This window comes from Homo sapiens, chromosome 5 (genome assembly GCF_000001405.40).
Source record: "Homo sapiens chromosome 5, GRCh38.p14 Primary Assembly".
Classification (NCBI taxonomy): domain Eukaryota; kingdom Metazoa; phylum Chordata; class Mammalia; order Primates; family Hominidae; genus Homo; species Homo sapiens.
This window is the reverse complement of record NC_000005.10, coordinates 131,667,702-131,683,910: the sequence shown is the minus strand read 5'-3', so window position 1 is coordinate 131,683,910 and position 16,209 is coordinate 131,667,702. Positions and strand designations below refer to the sequence as shown.

Genomic DNA, 16,209 nt, shown 5'->3' with positions numbered 1-16,209 from the left:
TTATGTATTGAGGGTTTGATGAAAATGTGACCAGAGGCTCATAGGAACCTGTTTATTTTCCTTAGGGGCAGTGGTTCAGTGTTGCTAATTCAGTGCTTGAGTGGGCTTTATAGAAAATAACTACCTCAAATAATGAGAATAGACTCTGCAGTCAGACCTTTATATCTGTGGGTTCCACATCTGCAAATCAGCCAACCTCGGATCAAAATATTTGAAAAAGAAAAACCAATAAAAATTAACTGCAATTAAAAAAATACACATTAAAAAACCAATGCGGTATAACAATTATTAACATAGTATTTACACTGCATTTGGTATTATAAGTACTCTAGAGATGGTTTTTTTTTTTTTTTTTTTTGAGACGGAGTCTTGCTCTGTCACCCAGGCTGGAGTGCAGTGGCGCAGTTTCGGCTCACTGCAAGCTCTGCCTCCCGGGTTCACACCATTCTCCTGCCTCAGCCTTCCGAGTAGCTGGGACTACAGGTGCCCACCACCACGCCTGGCTAATTTTTTTTTTTGTATTTTTAGTAGCGACAGGGTTTCTCCGTGTTAGCCAGGATGGTCTCAATCTCCTGACCTCGTGATCTGCCTGCCTCGGCCTCCCAAAGTGAGGTGGTTTTAAGTATACAGGAGGATGTGCATGGGTTACATGCAAATAGTATGCCATTTCATAAGGGATTTGAGCATCCACAGATTTTGGTAACCATGGGAATTCTGGAACCAATCCCCTGAAGACACCAAGAGATAAATGTACTTCTTAAATTAAGGGATTATTTAAAATTAACAATGACATAATCTTTAAATGATTATTTGAGATCAAGTGATTAGTAAATTTTGGGCAGTTGAGAAGAGGAAGGAAATTATTTACATGTGTACAGAAACCATGAAAGCTAGAGAAGCAGGAAGCATGTTTAGTTAACATTGCTGCCTAACAAAGACGAAGTCTTTAGATTTTTATATAGACCCTAGGCATATCAAAGAAAACTAAATCATGCCTACAGTTTCCTCCCAACCAAAAGAGTCTTTCATTGTCCGGGCACTGGGAAAAATAAGGGGACAGACTGGGAAAAATAAGGGGACAGATTACTGAAAGTATTTGCTTTTCTTACCATTGAATGATAGGGCACAATTATTAGTGGAGAAGAAAGAAATGATTTCTAGAATAAACCATTACTTCTAGATTTTTTTTTTTTTGAGACGGAGTCTTGCTCTACCGCCCAGGCTGAAATGAAGTGGTGCAATCTCAGCTCACTGTGACCTCTGCCTCCCAGGTTCAAGTGATTCTTGTGCCTCAGCCTCCCAAGTAGCTGGAATTACAGGCACTCACCACCACACCCAGCTAATTTTTGTATTTTTAGTAGACGGGATTTTGCCATGTTGGCCAGGCTGGTCTTGAACTCTCAACCTCAGGTGATCCGCCCACCTAGACCTCCCAAAGTGCTGGGATTATAGATGTGAGCCACCGCACCTGGCCATTACTTCTAGATTGTTAATGACAACAACATAGAGTTGTATATAGTGAGAAGCACTGTTGCGTAATTAATTTCTTTGCCTTCTTTATACTTGATAACACTCTGAGGCCATAGCATATATAATACTTTTAAACAAATATAATACTAAAATACTAAAGCAAAGGCTCTCATTGGACCACTAATACCAGTGTTTGTGATCTGGCTCTGTGCAATGACACATGGACTTATAGTAGACGGTAATATGCTGAAGAAACTCATGAAAAAGTCTTAAATGATCAGCATATTTATTTATTTATTTATACATTGTTTCTTTTAATCAAAAAGTATATGCACATGATTAAGAAACAAAAATTTCTGAAAGGTCCAATAATTAAAAATAAATGAATCCTATCCTACTCACCCCATTCTTCCCAGACACATTCTCTTTTTAACTATTATTTCTTGTTATTTACTTCCATATTATTAAAAAGTATACGAAATGTTGCTATTTCCTCATTTATCAGTTTTAGATCATATTTATTTTCTGCCATGATATATGGGTTTATACCTGTTTCTTGGTCCTTTATGGTCTCAGTATTGTTATAGCACCATCATGTTCTTCGGCTCTGGTAATTTTTCTGCTTTCTTTTACAATTTATTCTGTTTTCTCTCTGGAATCCGTTTTTTTTTTTTTTTTAGAAATTGGCACTCCTGGATTGTTCTGTGTTCCTTTTTTTTCATATTTTCCTTCTCTTTTTGTGAATGTTTTGTTTTTCTATCCCTTCTATGCTTTTTTCATTTCAGCAAATCTTTGATGCTTTCTTATTTTTGGATAATCCTTTTCTTTGAAAATTAGATTCTCTACCATACTCTTTAATTTTAATGTACATTAGAGTTTTGTTTAAAAGTTTTCTTCCATTGTTTGCATTATTTCTGTTTTCCTCTGGAGTCATTTTATATGGGTGAGTATGTGTGTGTTTCTGTTCTTGTCTTTTTCTCTGCTTGGAGGCTTTCTCTAAATATCAGTGTTTTTGGTTGCGCTCTGTAGTTGAGAATGAGGTAACAAACTGTAGGTTAGGAATTCTGTGCATAATCAGGCTTTTGACTGGAGACCTTCACTTCAGGGCAGTGTTTTTCAACCTTTTTTTATTATCATTACCTGAAGAAGCATATTTAGATATTTTTCCCCTAATCTCTGCTCCTTCAATACCACCGCCCCCCACAATCCCATGAAGATTTAACACTACAAGATATACTCTATATCTGATTATATACTCTGAAAGATACAAATGCCAGGAAGAGTTTGGAAAAGGTCATTCCTCGGGGCCATTCAACTGCTATATCTGCTCTCTCCTATCTGTAGTCATTTTCTGGGGAAGTGGAGAGGAGGTAGGGAGCTGCCAACCATTTATGGACTTTGAATTAGTCTCCCAATTTTCAGTACTGTATCGTAACTCCTGTCATGACTTTCCCAAAAATTTGTGAGTCTTGAGCCTCATCTTGCTTTAGTGGGGCAAATTAGCTCTCCTTTGTCCATGTCTCCCTCTGTGATACTATGACCTTATAACTTTCTCTACTCTGCTACTTCAATCACAATTCCACCATATGTTTGTATTCCAGAATTTCATGAAATCTCTAATTTTAATTTTCAGTAATAGTTCCTTGGCAATTTTTTTAAAATTAAGTAATTTATTTTTTAAATAATAGAGACAGGGTCTCACTGTGTTCCCCAGGCTGGTTTTGAACTCTGGGCTTAAGCAGTCCTCCTGCCCCAGTCTCCCAAAGAGCTGGGATTACAGGTGTGAGCCACCACACCCAGCTGGTTCTTCTCTAATTCTATTTGTTGCACTAGTTTATCTGTTTTCAAATCTTTAGGTGGTGTTCATTTGGGGCCTCAGAAACTGAAGAGAGGATAAACATTTGTCTTCAATTTTCCATCGTATCTGGACACCTGTAATAAGCTTTAAAAACAAACATTTTCATATATGCCTAGTTTGTATTCTAGTCATATTTGCTCTATAAAATAACTTTTTGTTTATTTTAAAATTCTTAGCAATGATTATATGTTCTACAGAGAGCTCATTAAAGTGACCTGTTCTTATTGTTTCTATCCATTGTAATACATCATGTTTATATTGTTTCAAATTCAACAAAATTTGTAGAGGCAAGATAATTCTTCTCTTTTTTGGCTCCTAGGTGTTACCAGACAGTGATACTGAGGTTGGTATTAGAATTTATGGAAATCTCAGAGAACTTTCTAGAGCAGTATTGCACAATAAAATCTCAGCCGTCAGCCACATGTGGCTATTTAACTTAATTAAGATAAATTCCCTTCCTTAGTCATACTGGTCACATGTCATGTGTTCAGTAACCACATACAGCTAGTGGCTACCATTTCAGACAGTGCAGGTTTCCATCATTGCCAGGTTCTACTAGACAGCATTGTTTTAAAAAGTAGAAAGTAGGACACCATTCTGTAGTTCTCCAGGATTGACTAGTTTCTTAAGCCTCAGGCTTTTGCAGGAGTTGCTTAGTCTAGTAAATGTATAGGGCTTTGTTAAATAGATAATGATGTAAAAAGAAAATAATTAACATCTTGAAAGTATGCTTTGAAGCCTTCAGGAGAAAGTACAAGTCACAGGACTAGCTATTGTCTAAATTAGTCCAAGAGACAGCTAAGAAAGCACTGTGCTAATTGTGTGATAATCTTTTTTTGTGTTGATTCAAGGAAACACTGTAGAAGGTTGAGAGAGTCATAAAATGTAGCATGTATGTATACTGTTCTCGCTGTCCTTAAGAATGTTACTAGAGTCTTAGCATAGGCAACAAAATGATGCAGATAAACTGTTGTTTTGAGTGGGTAGATGGATAAGCTGTTACCTCATTTAGAATATTTTCTTTTTGTACATGTAGTTGATTATTTGCGGTATATTTAAGTACAGCATACCCCGTAGAAATGTGGAGCTGGAATGGGCTTTAGAAATTATCATCGTATCCTTTCATTTTACAGGTATGGGAAACAAATGCTTAAAGTAGGGAAATAATTTACTCTAGGGCACACAGTCACTGGTGGGGAGAGCCAACACCAGAACCAACATATTTTGAGAACATTTCCCATGGTACTGTGTTGTTGACAAGGAAAGAAGGACTTGGTCCATTGTCTTTCCTCAAAAGCTTTAATAATCTAGATGTAAGGACCAAGCTGGCAATATAAACTTAAAATTATTTTAAGAGTATGTAACTCTTGGAACTATACATTTCATAATGTGTCTTCCTCTTTTTAGAACAACAATTTGTAATCTTTACACGATGCCACGAATTGGAGAACCTGTCTGGCTTACAATGATGTCGGGGACTCCAGAAAAGAACCACCTTTGCTATCGTTTCATGAAGGAGTTCACCTTTCTAATGGAAAATGCTTCCAAAAATCAGTATGAATTTATTTATTATAACTAGATATCTAGATTGTAATCAAACTCAATTACAGATGTGGAAGAATCATCCATTATCTTTGGAATTATTTTATATTATTAATCAAAATTAATAATCAGAATTCTAAAAAATAATTAAATGATAGGGTATGGAAGAGTATTACAGAACCTTATGAATGAAAAGCAGTGAAAATGTCTGTAATTATGTAATTAAAATTCCTGACATATTGTAGAATTATCTGAGGCTGCCCATTTTTTTGTGAGTTGTATCCATTTATAGTTTTATTTCATAGAAAAGAGGTAGAAAACATTTAAGGATGGCCAGGCGTGATGGCTCATACCTGTAACCCCAGCACTTTGGGAGGCTGAGGTGGGTGGATCACGAGGTCAGGAGATCGAGACATCCTGGCTAACACGGTGAAACCCTGTCTCTACTAAAAATACAAAAACAAAATTAGCCGGGCATGGTGGCGGGTGCCTGTAGTCCCAGCTACTTGGGAGGCTGAGACGGGAGAATGGCGTGAATCCAGGAGGCACAGCTTGCAGTAAGTGGAGATTGCGCCACTGCACTGTAGCCTGGGTGACAAAGCAAGACTCCGTCTCAAACAAACAAACAAAAAAAACATATAAGGAAATGGTAGGATTCTAATGATGCATTTTCAATGTGATGTTTTATCGTATTGTATTATTTTAACTATTCAAGTCTTTGGAATCCAGATGAATAATTCAGTTGTTTTTATTCTCTTTGATGATAGACAGAGTTTGCTTAATACTTTGCCTCGTTTTCCCATTCAGTAATTTGGAAATGTAAGGACCTGCTGGTTGATTCAGTAATTAATTGTGTGATTAAACACTGAAAATAATCCATAATTTTTGAAGTAAAATGGCATTTCTGTTTTGTACTTACGATCTGCAATAGCTCTTATGAATGTGTTATCTTTATTTCAAGTAGTTTTTAACTCCTCCTCAACCAGAAACTATTAACTTTCATTTTAATCTTGGTGTTATATACTCATCCTTTCCTCTCTCTTCTCCTTTTTTTGGTGCCATTTGGCCACATGAACATATATACTCCCCTTGCTTACTTTTTCACTACATTTTACCTAAGGTTTCATGAAGACTGATTGGAATCTGATCAGATGTATTTTGTTTTCAGATTCTTGCCAGCTCTCATTACTGCAGTTCTGACCAATCATCTTGCCTGGGTTCCAACAGTCATGCCAAATGGACAACCACCTATAAAAATATTTTTAGAAAAGCATTCCTCTCAGAGTGTGGACATGTTGGCAAAGACTCATCCATATAACCCACTTTGGGCACAACTGGGTATGTAATCTGACAACTGTTACACTATGTATTAGACTTTTTTGTAGCTATCTGTAATTATTTTATAGCAAAACCAAAAATAAATAAAATGCTTTTACCTCCTGCATTCTAAAGCATCTCTGCTTTGCTTGTCCTTTCATGTCTGCCAATTTGTCTTATCCTCGTCTTAGACCTGAAATCATTCCTTATAGATGAAGAACTGCAGGTAGAGCAAGAGGAGCAGGCTGATAGCTCGTTTACTAGTAACTTCAGATCTTCAGGATGTTTTATGATTTTGTACTTTGTGTTAGGTACTTTGCAAGAAAGAATAAATCAACAGTCACCGGTGATACCTAAAATCAATCTGGTTAGGAGTGAAGCAATTCACTGAGGTTTCTGTTGATCCACTTTTGTTCACTTGCTGAGTCATTTTGGAAAATGTTTCCCTCAGTGTTAAGCACCACTAAACAAGTCGGGGAACAGAGGGGAGAGTAGATGGTTGATAAGTTCATAGACAATAGGGAGGGATTGTACCAGGGTGCTAAAGACACAGGCTGTGGAGTCAGGCACACCACATTTGAATCACAGTTTCCTTATTCATAAAGTAGGAATAATAGTAGATGATACATACTTTAAAAGTTGTAAAAATTAAAAGAGATAATACATGTAAAATGGTTGAGACTGTGTCTCGTAAACGTAGCTGCTAATTACCTCTGCTCCTACTCTGTTGCTTTTAGATGATGGGGGAAGAGTAAGATGAGAACATTTTGGTGACTGGGTAGTAACTTTCCTTAGGTTGCTCTGTGATTGAGCTTGCCAGGTGGATTGTCATATGGCAATATGTCATATGACATATATCAATTCATATAACCAACCTCCATCCCTACTGGCTTTCTCCCTTGTTCCCTCCCCCATTCCCTTCCATTTTATTGAGTTATAATTGACATACAGTAAATGCATTTTTTTAATGAAGTCTCACTCTTTTGCCCAGGCTGAAGTGCAGTGGCACGATCATGGCTCACTGCAGCTCCAATTTCCCTGGGATCAAATGATCTCCCTACCTTAGTCACCCAAGTAGCTGGGACTACAGGCGCGTAACACCACACCAGGCTAGTTTTTGTATTTATTGTAGAGATGGGGTTTTGCCATGTTCCCCCAGGCTGGTCTCAAACTCCCAGACTCAAGCGATCTGCTCATCTTGGCCTCCCAAGGTGCTGGGATTACAAGCATGAGCCACCACACCTGGCCCAACACATATTTAAAGTACACAGTTTGGGCTAGGTGCAGTGGCTCATGCCTGTAATCCTGGCACTTTGGGAGGCTGAGGTGGGTGGATTACTTGAGGTCAGGAGTTCGAAACCAGCCTGGCCAACATGGTGAAACCCTGCCTCTACTGAAAATACAAAACAATGGCTGGGTGCAGTGGCTCACGCCTGTAATCTCAGCACTTTGGGAGGCCGAGGCAGGCGGATCATGAGGGCAGGAGATCGAGACCATCCTGGCTTAACACGGTGAAATCGCATCTCTACTAGAAGTACAAAAAATTAGCTGGGCGTGGTGGTGGGCGCCAGCTACTCAAGAGGCTGAGGCAGGAGAATGGTGTGAACCCAGGAGGCGGAGCTTGCAGTGAGCCGAGATCATGCCACTGCACTCCATCCTGGGCAACAGTGCAAGACTCTGTCTCAAAAAAAAAAAAAATTAGCTGGGCGTGGTGGCAGGCGCCTATAATCCCAGCCACTTAGGAGGCTGAGGCAGGAGAATCCCTTGAACCTGGAGGCAGAGGTTGCAATGAGCCGAGATCATGCCACTGCACCGTAGCCTGGGTGACAGAGCGAGAATCTGTCTCAAAAAAATAAAGCAATTTGATAAGTTTCGCATATATGCCTCTGAAACCATCACCACAATCAAAATGGTAATCATATTGCATCACTTACAAAAGTTTCCTTATGCCTTTTTGTAATCTCTTCCTCCTCCTCCTCCTCCCCATCTCCTTCTCCCCAACTTCTCTGTTCCTCTTCCACCATCCCTAGGCAGCCACTGGCCTACTTTCTGTCATGGTAGATTACTTGCATTTTCTAGAGTTTTATATGAATGGAATCATGCAGTATATACTTTCTTTGATCTCATTCATTCAATATAATTCAGATTCACCTATTTTGTATGTATTAATGGTTCATTCCTTTTTAATGCTGAGTAGTATTCCATTGCATGGACCTTTTTAAAATCAAATTATTAGTAGTATTTTTTAAATTGGGACATTTAAATCCTTTTTTAATTCTACAATCATTTGTTGACTGTCTAGGCTCTGTTTAAAAAGCACAGAGGCTGTAAAGATGAATGATTTGGAAATTGCCCTCAAGAAGTCGACAGTCTAAGACTGTAGGTAATATATATGCAGACAACAATGATAATTCAAGGAGGAACTATAAGAGAAATGAAAAGTTTAGTGAGAGTTCAACAGGGGAGCCTACTTTTGTCCAAGTGAGGATGCTTAGGTGGGAAGCTATGGACTGGCAGAGATATTGAGGAAAGGGACAGGACATCACATGAGTAAAGAGTCTAGGTGTTAAAAGTGCAGAGCATATTCAGTGGTCCAGTTTAACTGGGGCTTTGTGCGAATAAGGATGATTTCTTCTTCTGACTGCCAAGAAGGAGGATAAGTATAAGAAAATAAAGCTGGAAAAGTAAAGTGGGAATCATGAAAGACTCACTTGCCATGCCAAAGCAATTTCAACTTACTTGGTAATTTGTGGGAATTATGGGAGTAGTTTAGAACAGTGGCATGGTGATATTTGAGCCAGTGTGTTAGCCAGAAGAGAAAATTTATCATAATAGTATCTATAGCTTATATTTATTTGAGACCTATTTATATTTGTTCCTTTAAAAAGTGTGAGGGCTTTGTAAAGTAAAAATAGAGGATTTTAAATGTGTATACTGACAACTTCAAAAATTGAATTAAGTTGAAATTAATGGCTTTGTATTCTCCTTTTTTTTTCTTTCTTTCTTGAGACAGGGTCTCACGCTATTGCACAGGCTGGAGTGTGGTGGTGCGATCACAGCTCACTGCAGCCTCAACTTCCTGGGCTCAGGTGATTCTTCCGCCTCAGCCTCTCAGGTAGCTGGGATTACAGGTGCGCGCCACCATGCCCAGCTAATTTTCTGTATTTTTTTGTAGAGACAAGGGTTTCGCCATGTTGCCCAGGCTGGTCTTGAACTCCTGGGCTCAAGTGATCAGCCTGCTTCCACCTCCCCAAATGCTGGGATTACATGTGTAAGCCACCATGCCCAGCCCTATTCTCCATAGTTTTGGCACTGAAATTACTGGTTTAATTTGAAGTATAGCATAAATATAGAAATGCTAATTTCTAGTCCTGCCCCCCTCACCTCCCCTGCTTTTAACATAATGGCTAGTCATGTTTAGAATGGATTCAAAAGTGAAAATGAACTGCATGGCTGAACTTGTTGCCCTTTCTTTTCCTTTTAGTAAGGATGAGTCTCTCTCTTCCTGCCCTTTCTGGCCTATCCTGAGTACCCAACCCTCTAGGGAATGGAAGGGGAAAATAGGCTTTTACAAACATGGGAGCTGGTGGGGTGGGGTGCTGGCTAGAGGAACAACAGTTAAAGTTCAGAGATATGACTTACTTTTTTATTTTATTTCTTTTTATTTTTTATTATTTTTATTTTTTTGAGACGGAGTCTTGCTCTTGTTGCCCAGGCTGGAGTGCAGTGGTGTCATCTCGGCTCAGTGCACCCTCTGCCTCCTGGGTTCAAGTAATTCTCCAGCCTCAGCCTCCCAAGTAGCTGGGACTACAGGTGCCCACGACACCACCTGGCTAGTTTTTGTATTTTTAGTAGGTACAGGGTTTTACCATCTTGGCCAGGCTGGTCTTGAACTCCTGGTCTCAAGTGATCCACCCATCTCGGCCTCTCAGAGTGCTGGAATTACAAGCGTGAGCCACTGTGCCCGGCCCCAGAGATATGATTTAAATCAGGAATGGTTAAGTGTGTGGTGTGACGACTATAGCTTTGCTCCATTTTACCACTACTCCTTTCCTCTCCTTGCAAGCCAGTGGATATTGTGCTTTGTCTTTTCTTGATTGGACACAGCTACAGAATCCTTGTGTACATAGTACTTCAGGCAGTACTTCTCTAACAAGGTAAAAATGCTCTGCATGGAGCCTGGGTTAGAGAATATTCTTGGGATATGTGAGTTTCAGAACTGACTCTTTGCTTGAGGTTTCTGAACCATAGCATTTGTTTAAAGAGGAAACCAGAAAACCCTTAAATTCACCTTTCTCTCTGGTTAAGATTATTCATCTCATCTTCCTCCCTTGAATAGTCACTCATCTGTTAAAGAACTAAGAGTGAGGCCAGGCATGGTGGCTCACGCCTGTAATCCCAGCACTTTGGGAGGCCAGGGCCAGTGGATTGCTTGAGCCCAGGAGCTCAAGACCACCCTAGGAAACATGGCAAAACTCTGTCTCTACAAAAAAAAAAAAATACAAAAAATTAGCCAGGCATGGTGGCACGCGCTTATAGTCCCAGCTACTCAGGAGGCTGAGGTAGCAGGATCACCTGAGCCTAGGAGGCTGAGGCTGCAGTGAACCATGATTGTACCACTGCACTCCAGCCAGGATTACAGTGTGAGACCCTGTCTCAAAAAAAAAAAAAACAAAAAAACGAGTAAAACCTAAACTATTACTCATACAGTAAAAGAAGTAGGTTTCTGATCATTAAAAATAGCTTACTTAGCTGTGTCAGTAAAGGACATGTCCAATAACTGATTTTTTCCATTACAGGAGACTTGTATGGCGCTATTGGCTCTCCCGTACGGTTAGCAAGGACTGTGGTAGTTGGCAAACGACAAGACATGGTCCAGAGGCTACTTTATTTTCTTACTTATTTTATAAGATGCTCTGAACTTCAAGAAACGCATCTTTTAGAAAATGGAGAAGATGAAGCCATCGTTATGCCAGGCACAGTAATTACTACCACTTTAGAGAAAGGTGAAATAGAAGAATCAGAGTATGTCCTTGTCACAATGCATAGAAACAAAAGCAGTTTGCTCTTTAAAGAGTCAGAAGAAATTAGAACTCCCAATTGTAACTGTAAATATTGCAGTCATCCACTCCTTGGGCAAAATGTAGAGAACATTTCACAACAAGAGAGAGAAGATATTCAAAACAGCTCTAAGGAGCTGCTAGGAATTTCAGATGAGTGCCAGATGATTTCTCCTTCTGACTGCCAAGAAGAAAATGCTGTTGATGTTAAACAGTACAGAGATAAATTAAGAACTTGCTTTGACGCCAAGTTAGAGACAGTTGTTTGCACAGGATCTGTTCCAGTAGACAAATGTGCATTGTCAGAGTCAGGCTTAGAGTCAACAGAGGAAACATGGCAGAGTGAGAAGTTGCTGGATTCAGACAGTCACACAGGCAAAGCAATGAGATCCACAGGAATGGTTGTGGAAAAAAAACCTCCAGATAAGATTGTGCCTGCTTCATTTTCTTGTGAGGCTGCCCAGACAAAGGTTACTTTCCTGATTGGGGATTCTATGTCACCTGATTCAGATACTGAGCTTCGAAGTCAGGCAGTGGTGGATCAGATTACCAGACATCACACCAAACCATTGAAGGAAGAAAGAGGGGCTATTGATCAGCATCAAGAAACTAAACAAACAACCAAGGACCAATCTGGAGAGTCTGATACACAGAACATGGTTTCTGAAGAGCCCTGTGAACTTCCCTGTTGGAATCATTCAGACCCAGAAAGCATGAGCTTATTCGACGAATATTTTAATGATGATTCAATCGAAACCAGGACTATTGATGATGTTCCATTTAAAACAAGTACAGATAGTAAAGACCATTGCTGTATGTTAGAGTTTTCAAAAATATTGTGTACAAAAAATAACAAGCAGAACAATGAATTTTGTAAATGTATAGAAACAGTTCCCCAAGATTCATGTAAAACCTGCTTTCCTCAGCAGGACCAAAGAGATACACTCTCCATTCTTGTCCCCCATGGGGATAAAGAGAGTTCAGATAAAAAAATTGCTGTAGGAACTGAATGGGACATTCCAAGAAATGAAAGTTCAGACAGTGCCCTTGGGGATAGTGAAAGTGAAGATACAGGTCATGATATGACTAGACAAGTTAGCAGTTATTATGGAGGAGAGCAAGAAGATTGGGCAGAAGAGGATGAGATACCTTTTCCTGGGTAAGTAGGAAGTTTTCACCTATAATGGGCCCTATATAAATATGTACCATTCTCTTTTTTAGCTGTTCTCTGAAGGTTAGTATAAAAGAGATCATTGTTCTGGATAGCTCTCTTGTTTTCATATTCTCTTAACTCATAAGAAGGAGTAAAGGCTAAGCTCCAGAAACACCCTGGAAAGGTTTTATGAAGACCTCAAATAAAAGTTAAAGGATCTGGTTGATAAGTATAAGATTTCTTACTGCTTAGAAGGTTTCAAGCCATTTAGGAGTGACTTATGCCCCCCAAAGGACATATGCTGAGCCTGGCAGTTAGGGAGCACTAATCCCTGAGATGTTAGAATAGCTGTTAGAAATAGATTTGGCCAAGACTAAGAGGAAAACAGAGAATGTATACTTTGGGTCAAGTATGCAAGGAGAATATTCATGCTTGAGAAACATTACATACCTAGCTTTGGACTTGTGAGGCATTTAATTGTTTTGTTTTAGATGATTGTTTTCATAATCTGATTGTATTAAGAATGTGCTACAAACACAAGGTACAATTCTCTTAAAGTCTCTTAGGAAAGATTGATCCTCACTTCATTACTCAGTTGCTCATCAGACCTTCTTCTCTGAATAAGAAGGAGTATTTTATTTTCTGATAGAGCACTTGAGCCAGTTTTTAAATAACGATGATTTTACTCTTGATTTTACTATTATTACCATTTTACTCTTAATTTTTACGATTGTTACCATTATATAAGGATGATTTTACACTTGATTTTAATACAGACTAGTGTAAAATATGGACAAGTAGAATTCACTTTTTTTTTTTTTTACTGGTTAAATATATTTATTACTAAATAAATGTCTTTTGGGGGCATTTTTCTTCCAGGTCAAAGTTAATCGAAGTGAGTGCTGTTCAGCCCAACATTGCCAACTTCGGGAGGTCCTTGCTGGGTGGCTACTGCTCATCTTATGTGCCTGACTTTGTTCTTCAAGGAATTGGGAGTGATGAGAGGTTCCGTCAGTGTCTGATGTCAGATTTATCTCATGCTGTGCAGGTGAGTGACCTTCACTGTTTTTGAGTTTATTTAGAAGAAACTCTGTTAAGCAGCAGAACCCAAAATTGCCTTATATTTTTGGTCATACTTTTTACAACACAATCATTGTTCTCTGAATCCATCATTTTATATTCAGTGCCCGTATCTTTGTATCTGTCACTGTGAAAGCAAATAAAGTTCCAGAAATCTATCCACATGGATATCTGAAATACAGAAAGTACTTTATGTATTCATGGATGTCCATCAACTAGGTTATTTATAGTATCAAAAATTTGCAAGTGCTTAAGTTTGAATGGAATTATTTTCTTAATTTCCTTTTCAGATTACTCATTGCTTACATATAGAAGTGGGGTTGGCTTTTGTGTATTGATCTTATATCCTTTGGTCTTTCTGAAACTCTTATTAGTCTATTCATTTTTCTGTATAGGTTCCCTAAGGTTTTCTACACACAGGCTCATGTTATCAGTGAACAGATAGTTTTAAATCTTTCTTAACAATCTGGATGCCTTTTGTCCCCGCTGCCCCCAACTTTTTTTTTTTTTTTTGACTCATTGTACTGGCTAGAATTTTCAATACAATGTTGCATGGAAGTGGTGACCATGGACATCGTTGCCTTATTCCTGATCTTAGGGGAAAGACATTGCATCTTTCATGATTAAGTATGTTGTTAGTTGTAAGGTTTTTGTGATGCCCTTTATTAGATGGAAGAAGTTCCCTTTTTATTTTTATTTTGTTTAACCGAATACTTCTTTTAGAGACAGGCAGTTCTCTTTTATTCCTAGTTTTGAGACGGTTTGGTTTTTTTTGTCCATCCCTTAATCATGAATGAGTGTGGGATTTTGTCATATGCTTTTTCTCAATGTCTATTGAGATTGTATTGTCGTGTCATTTTTCATCTTTAAACTATTAATGTCATGGATTTCATTAATTAATTTTTAGATGTTAAACCAACCATTGTATTCCTAGGAAGCAATTCCCACTCTGTCATGGTATATAATTTTTTTTATGTGTTGCTGGATTTGATTTACCAATATTTTATTATGGACATTGGAGTCTATATTCATGAGAAATATTGCTTTTTAGTTTTCTTGTGATGTCTTTGTCTAGCTCTGATATCAGGATAATATTGGCACATCCTCTATTTTCTGGAAGAGTTTCCAGAAGATTAGTACTACTTTTTTTCTCTAAACGTTTGGTAGAACTCACTAGTGAAACCATCTGCATCCAGGCTTTTAAGAATAAGAATATTTTAAATTGCTAATTTAATTTCTTCACCTTTTATACATTTAGATTTTCTATTTGTTTCTGAGTCCATTTTGGTAATTTTTGTCTTTTAGGAATTTATTAGTTGCATTTAAGTGGCCTAATTTACTAGAATCAAGTTGTTTATATTATACACTTACAATCCTTTTAGTTTTTATAAGGTTGCTAGTGATGTCCCCTCTTTTGTTCCTGAATTTTGTAATGTGTGTTTTTGTTTGTTTGTTTTTCAAATGGTGAGGGCTTCTCCAAAGAGAAGTTCATTCGTGGTTTCACTTAAATTGTATATATTTTTTGCCCATATACATCAAGGATTAGCAAGCTATGGACAGTGGGCCAAATTGTCCTGCTTTTTATAGATGAAGTTTTATTAGAACACAACCACAGTCATTCATTTATATGCTTCTGGCTATGTTCATGCCTAACAGCAGAGTTGAGTTATTGAGACAGAGACTTTTCAGCCCCCAAACCTAAAATATTTCCTGTTTGTTCTTATTTTATTTTATTTCATTTTTCTTGAGACAGAGTCTAGCTCTGTTACCCAGGCTGGAGTACAGTGGTGCCATCTCAGCTTACAGTAACTTCTGCCTCCCAGGTTCAAGTGATTCTCTTGCCTCAGCCTCTGGAGTAGCTGGGATTACAGGTGCCCACCACCACACCTGCCTAATTTTTGTATTTTTAGTAGAGATGAGGTTTCACCATGTTGGCCAGGTTGGTCTGGAACTCCGACCTCAGGTGATCCACCCACCTCAGCCTCCCAAAGTGCTGGGATTATAGGCGTGAGCCACCGCACCTGGCCAAATCTGACAAATTTCGATCTGTTGTATTTTCAGTTTCATTCATTTCAAAATGTTTTTACATTTTGCTTGTAATTTCTTTGACTTATGAGTTATTTAGAAGTATGCTGTTTAATTTACAAATATTTATGGAATTCTCAAAAGTTGTTTTGCTGTTGGTTTCTAATTTAATTCCATTATGGTTGGAGAACCTACTTTGTTCACCTCTTGTAAATTTATTGAGACTGTTTTATGGCACTTGAAAAGAATATATATTCTGCTTTTGTTGAAATGTTCTATAGCTATCAGGTCAAGTTAGATAACCTTTAGATAATAGTCTTAATTAAGTCTTTTATGTCCGTGCTGATTTTCAGTTTGTTTCTGCCATCAATTATTGAGAATGAAGTATTGAAGTCTTCAGCTATTGTTTGGTTGAATTTTCTATTTCTCCCTTCAATTGTACATATCACTTTAATACTTTGCTTTAATAACAAAATCTGGCCACCTCTCAATTTAAAAAGTTAATAAAGAAATAGAGAGGCCCGGAATGGTGGCTCACGCCTATAATCCCAGCACTTTGGGAGGCCGAGGTGGGTGGATTACTTGAGGTCAGTAGTTTGTGACCACCCTGGCCAACATGGTGAAACCCTGCCTCTACAAAAATACAAAGATTAGCTGGGTGTGGTGGCATGTGCCTGTAATCCCAGCTGCTTGGGAGGCTGAGG

At 38.4% G+C, this 16,209-nt stretch overlaps 1 protein-coding gene across 4 annotated transcripts in view; it reads left to right on the top strand.

Moving 5' to 3' along the window:
- Window positions 1–16,209, top strand: part of FNIP1 (folliculin interacting protein 1) — a 155,304-nt gene that overhangs the window by 113,107 nt on the left and 25,988 nt on the right. For 3 of the 4 annotated variants that reach the window (NM_001346114.2, NM_001008738.3, NM_133372.3), the window contains 4 exons: window positions 4,736–4,882; window positions 6,039–6,208; window positions 10,987–12,406; window positions 13,280–13,448. In NM_001346114.2, coding sequence (NP_001333043.1) covers window positions 4,736–4,882; window positions 6,039–6,208; window positions 10,987–12,406; window positions 13,280–13,448 — 1,906 coding nt within the window. Of the gene's footprint in view, window positions 1–4,735; window positions 4,883–6,038; window positions 6,322–10,986; window positions 12,407–13,279; window positions 13,449–16,209 lie in introns of those variants that run through there. The other variant, NM_001346113.2, reaches the window with a different exon arrangement.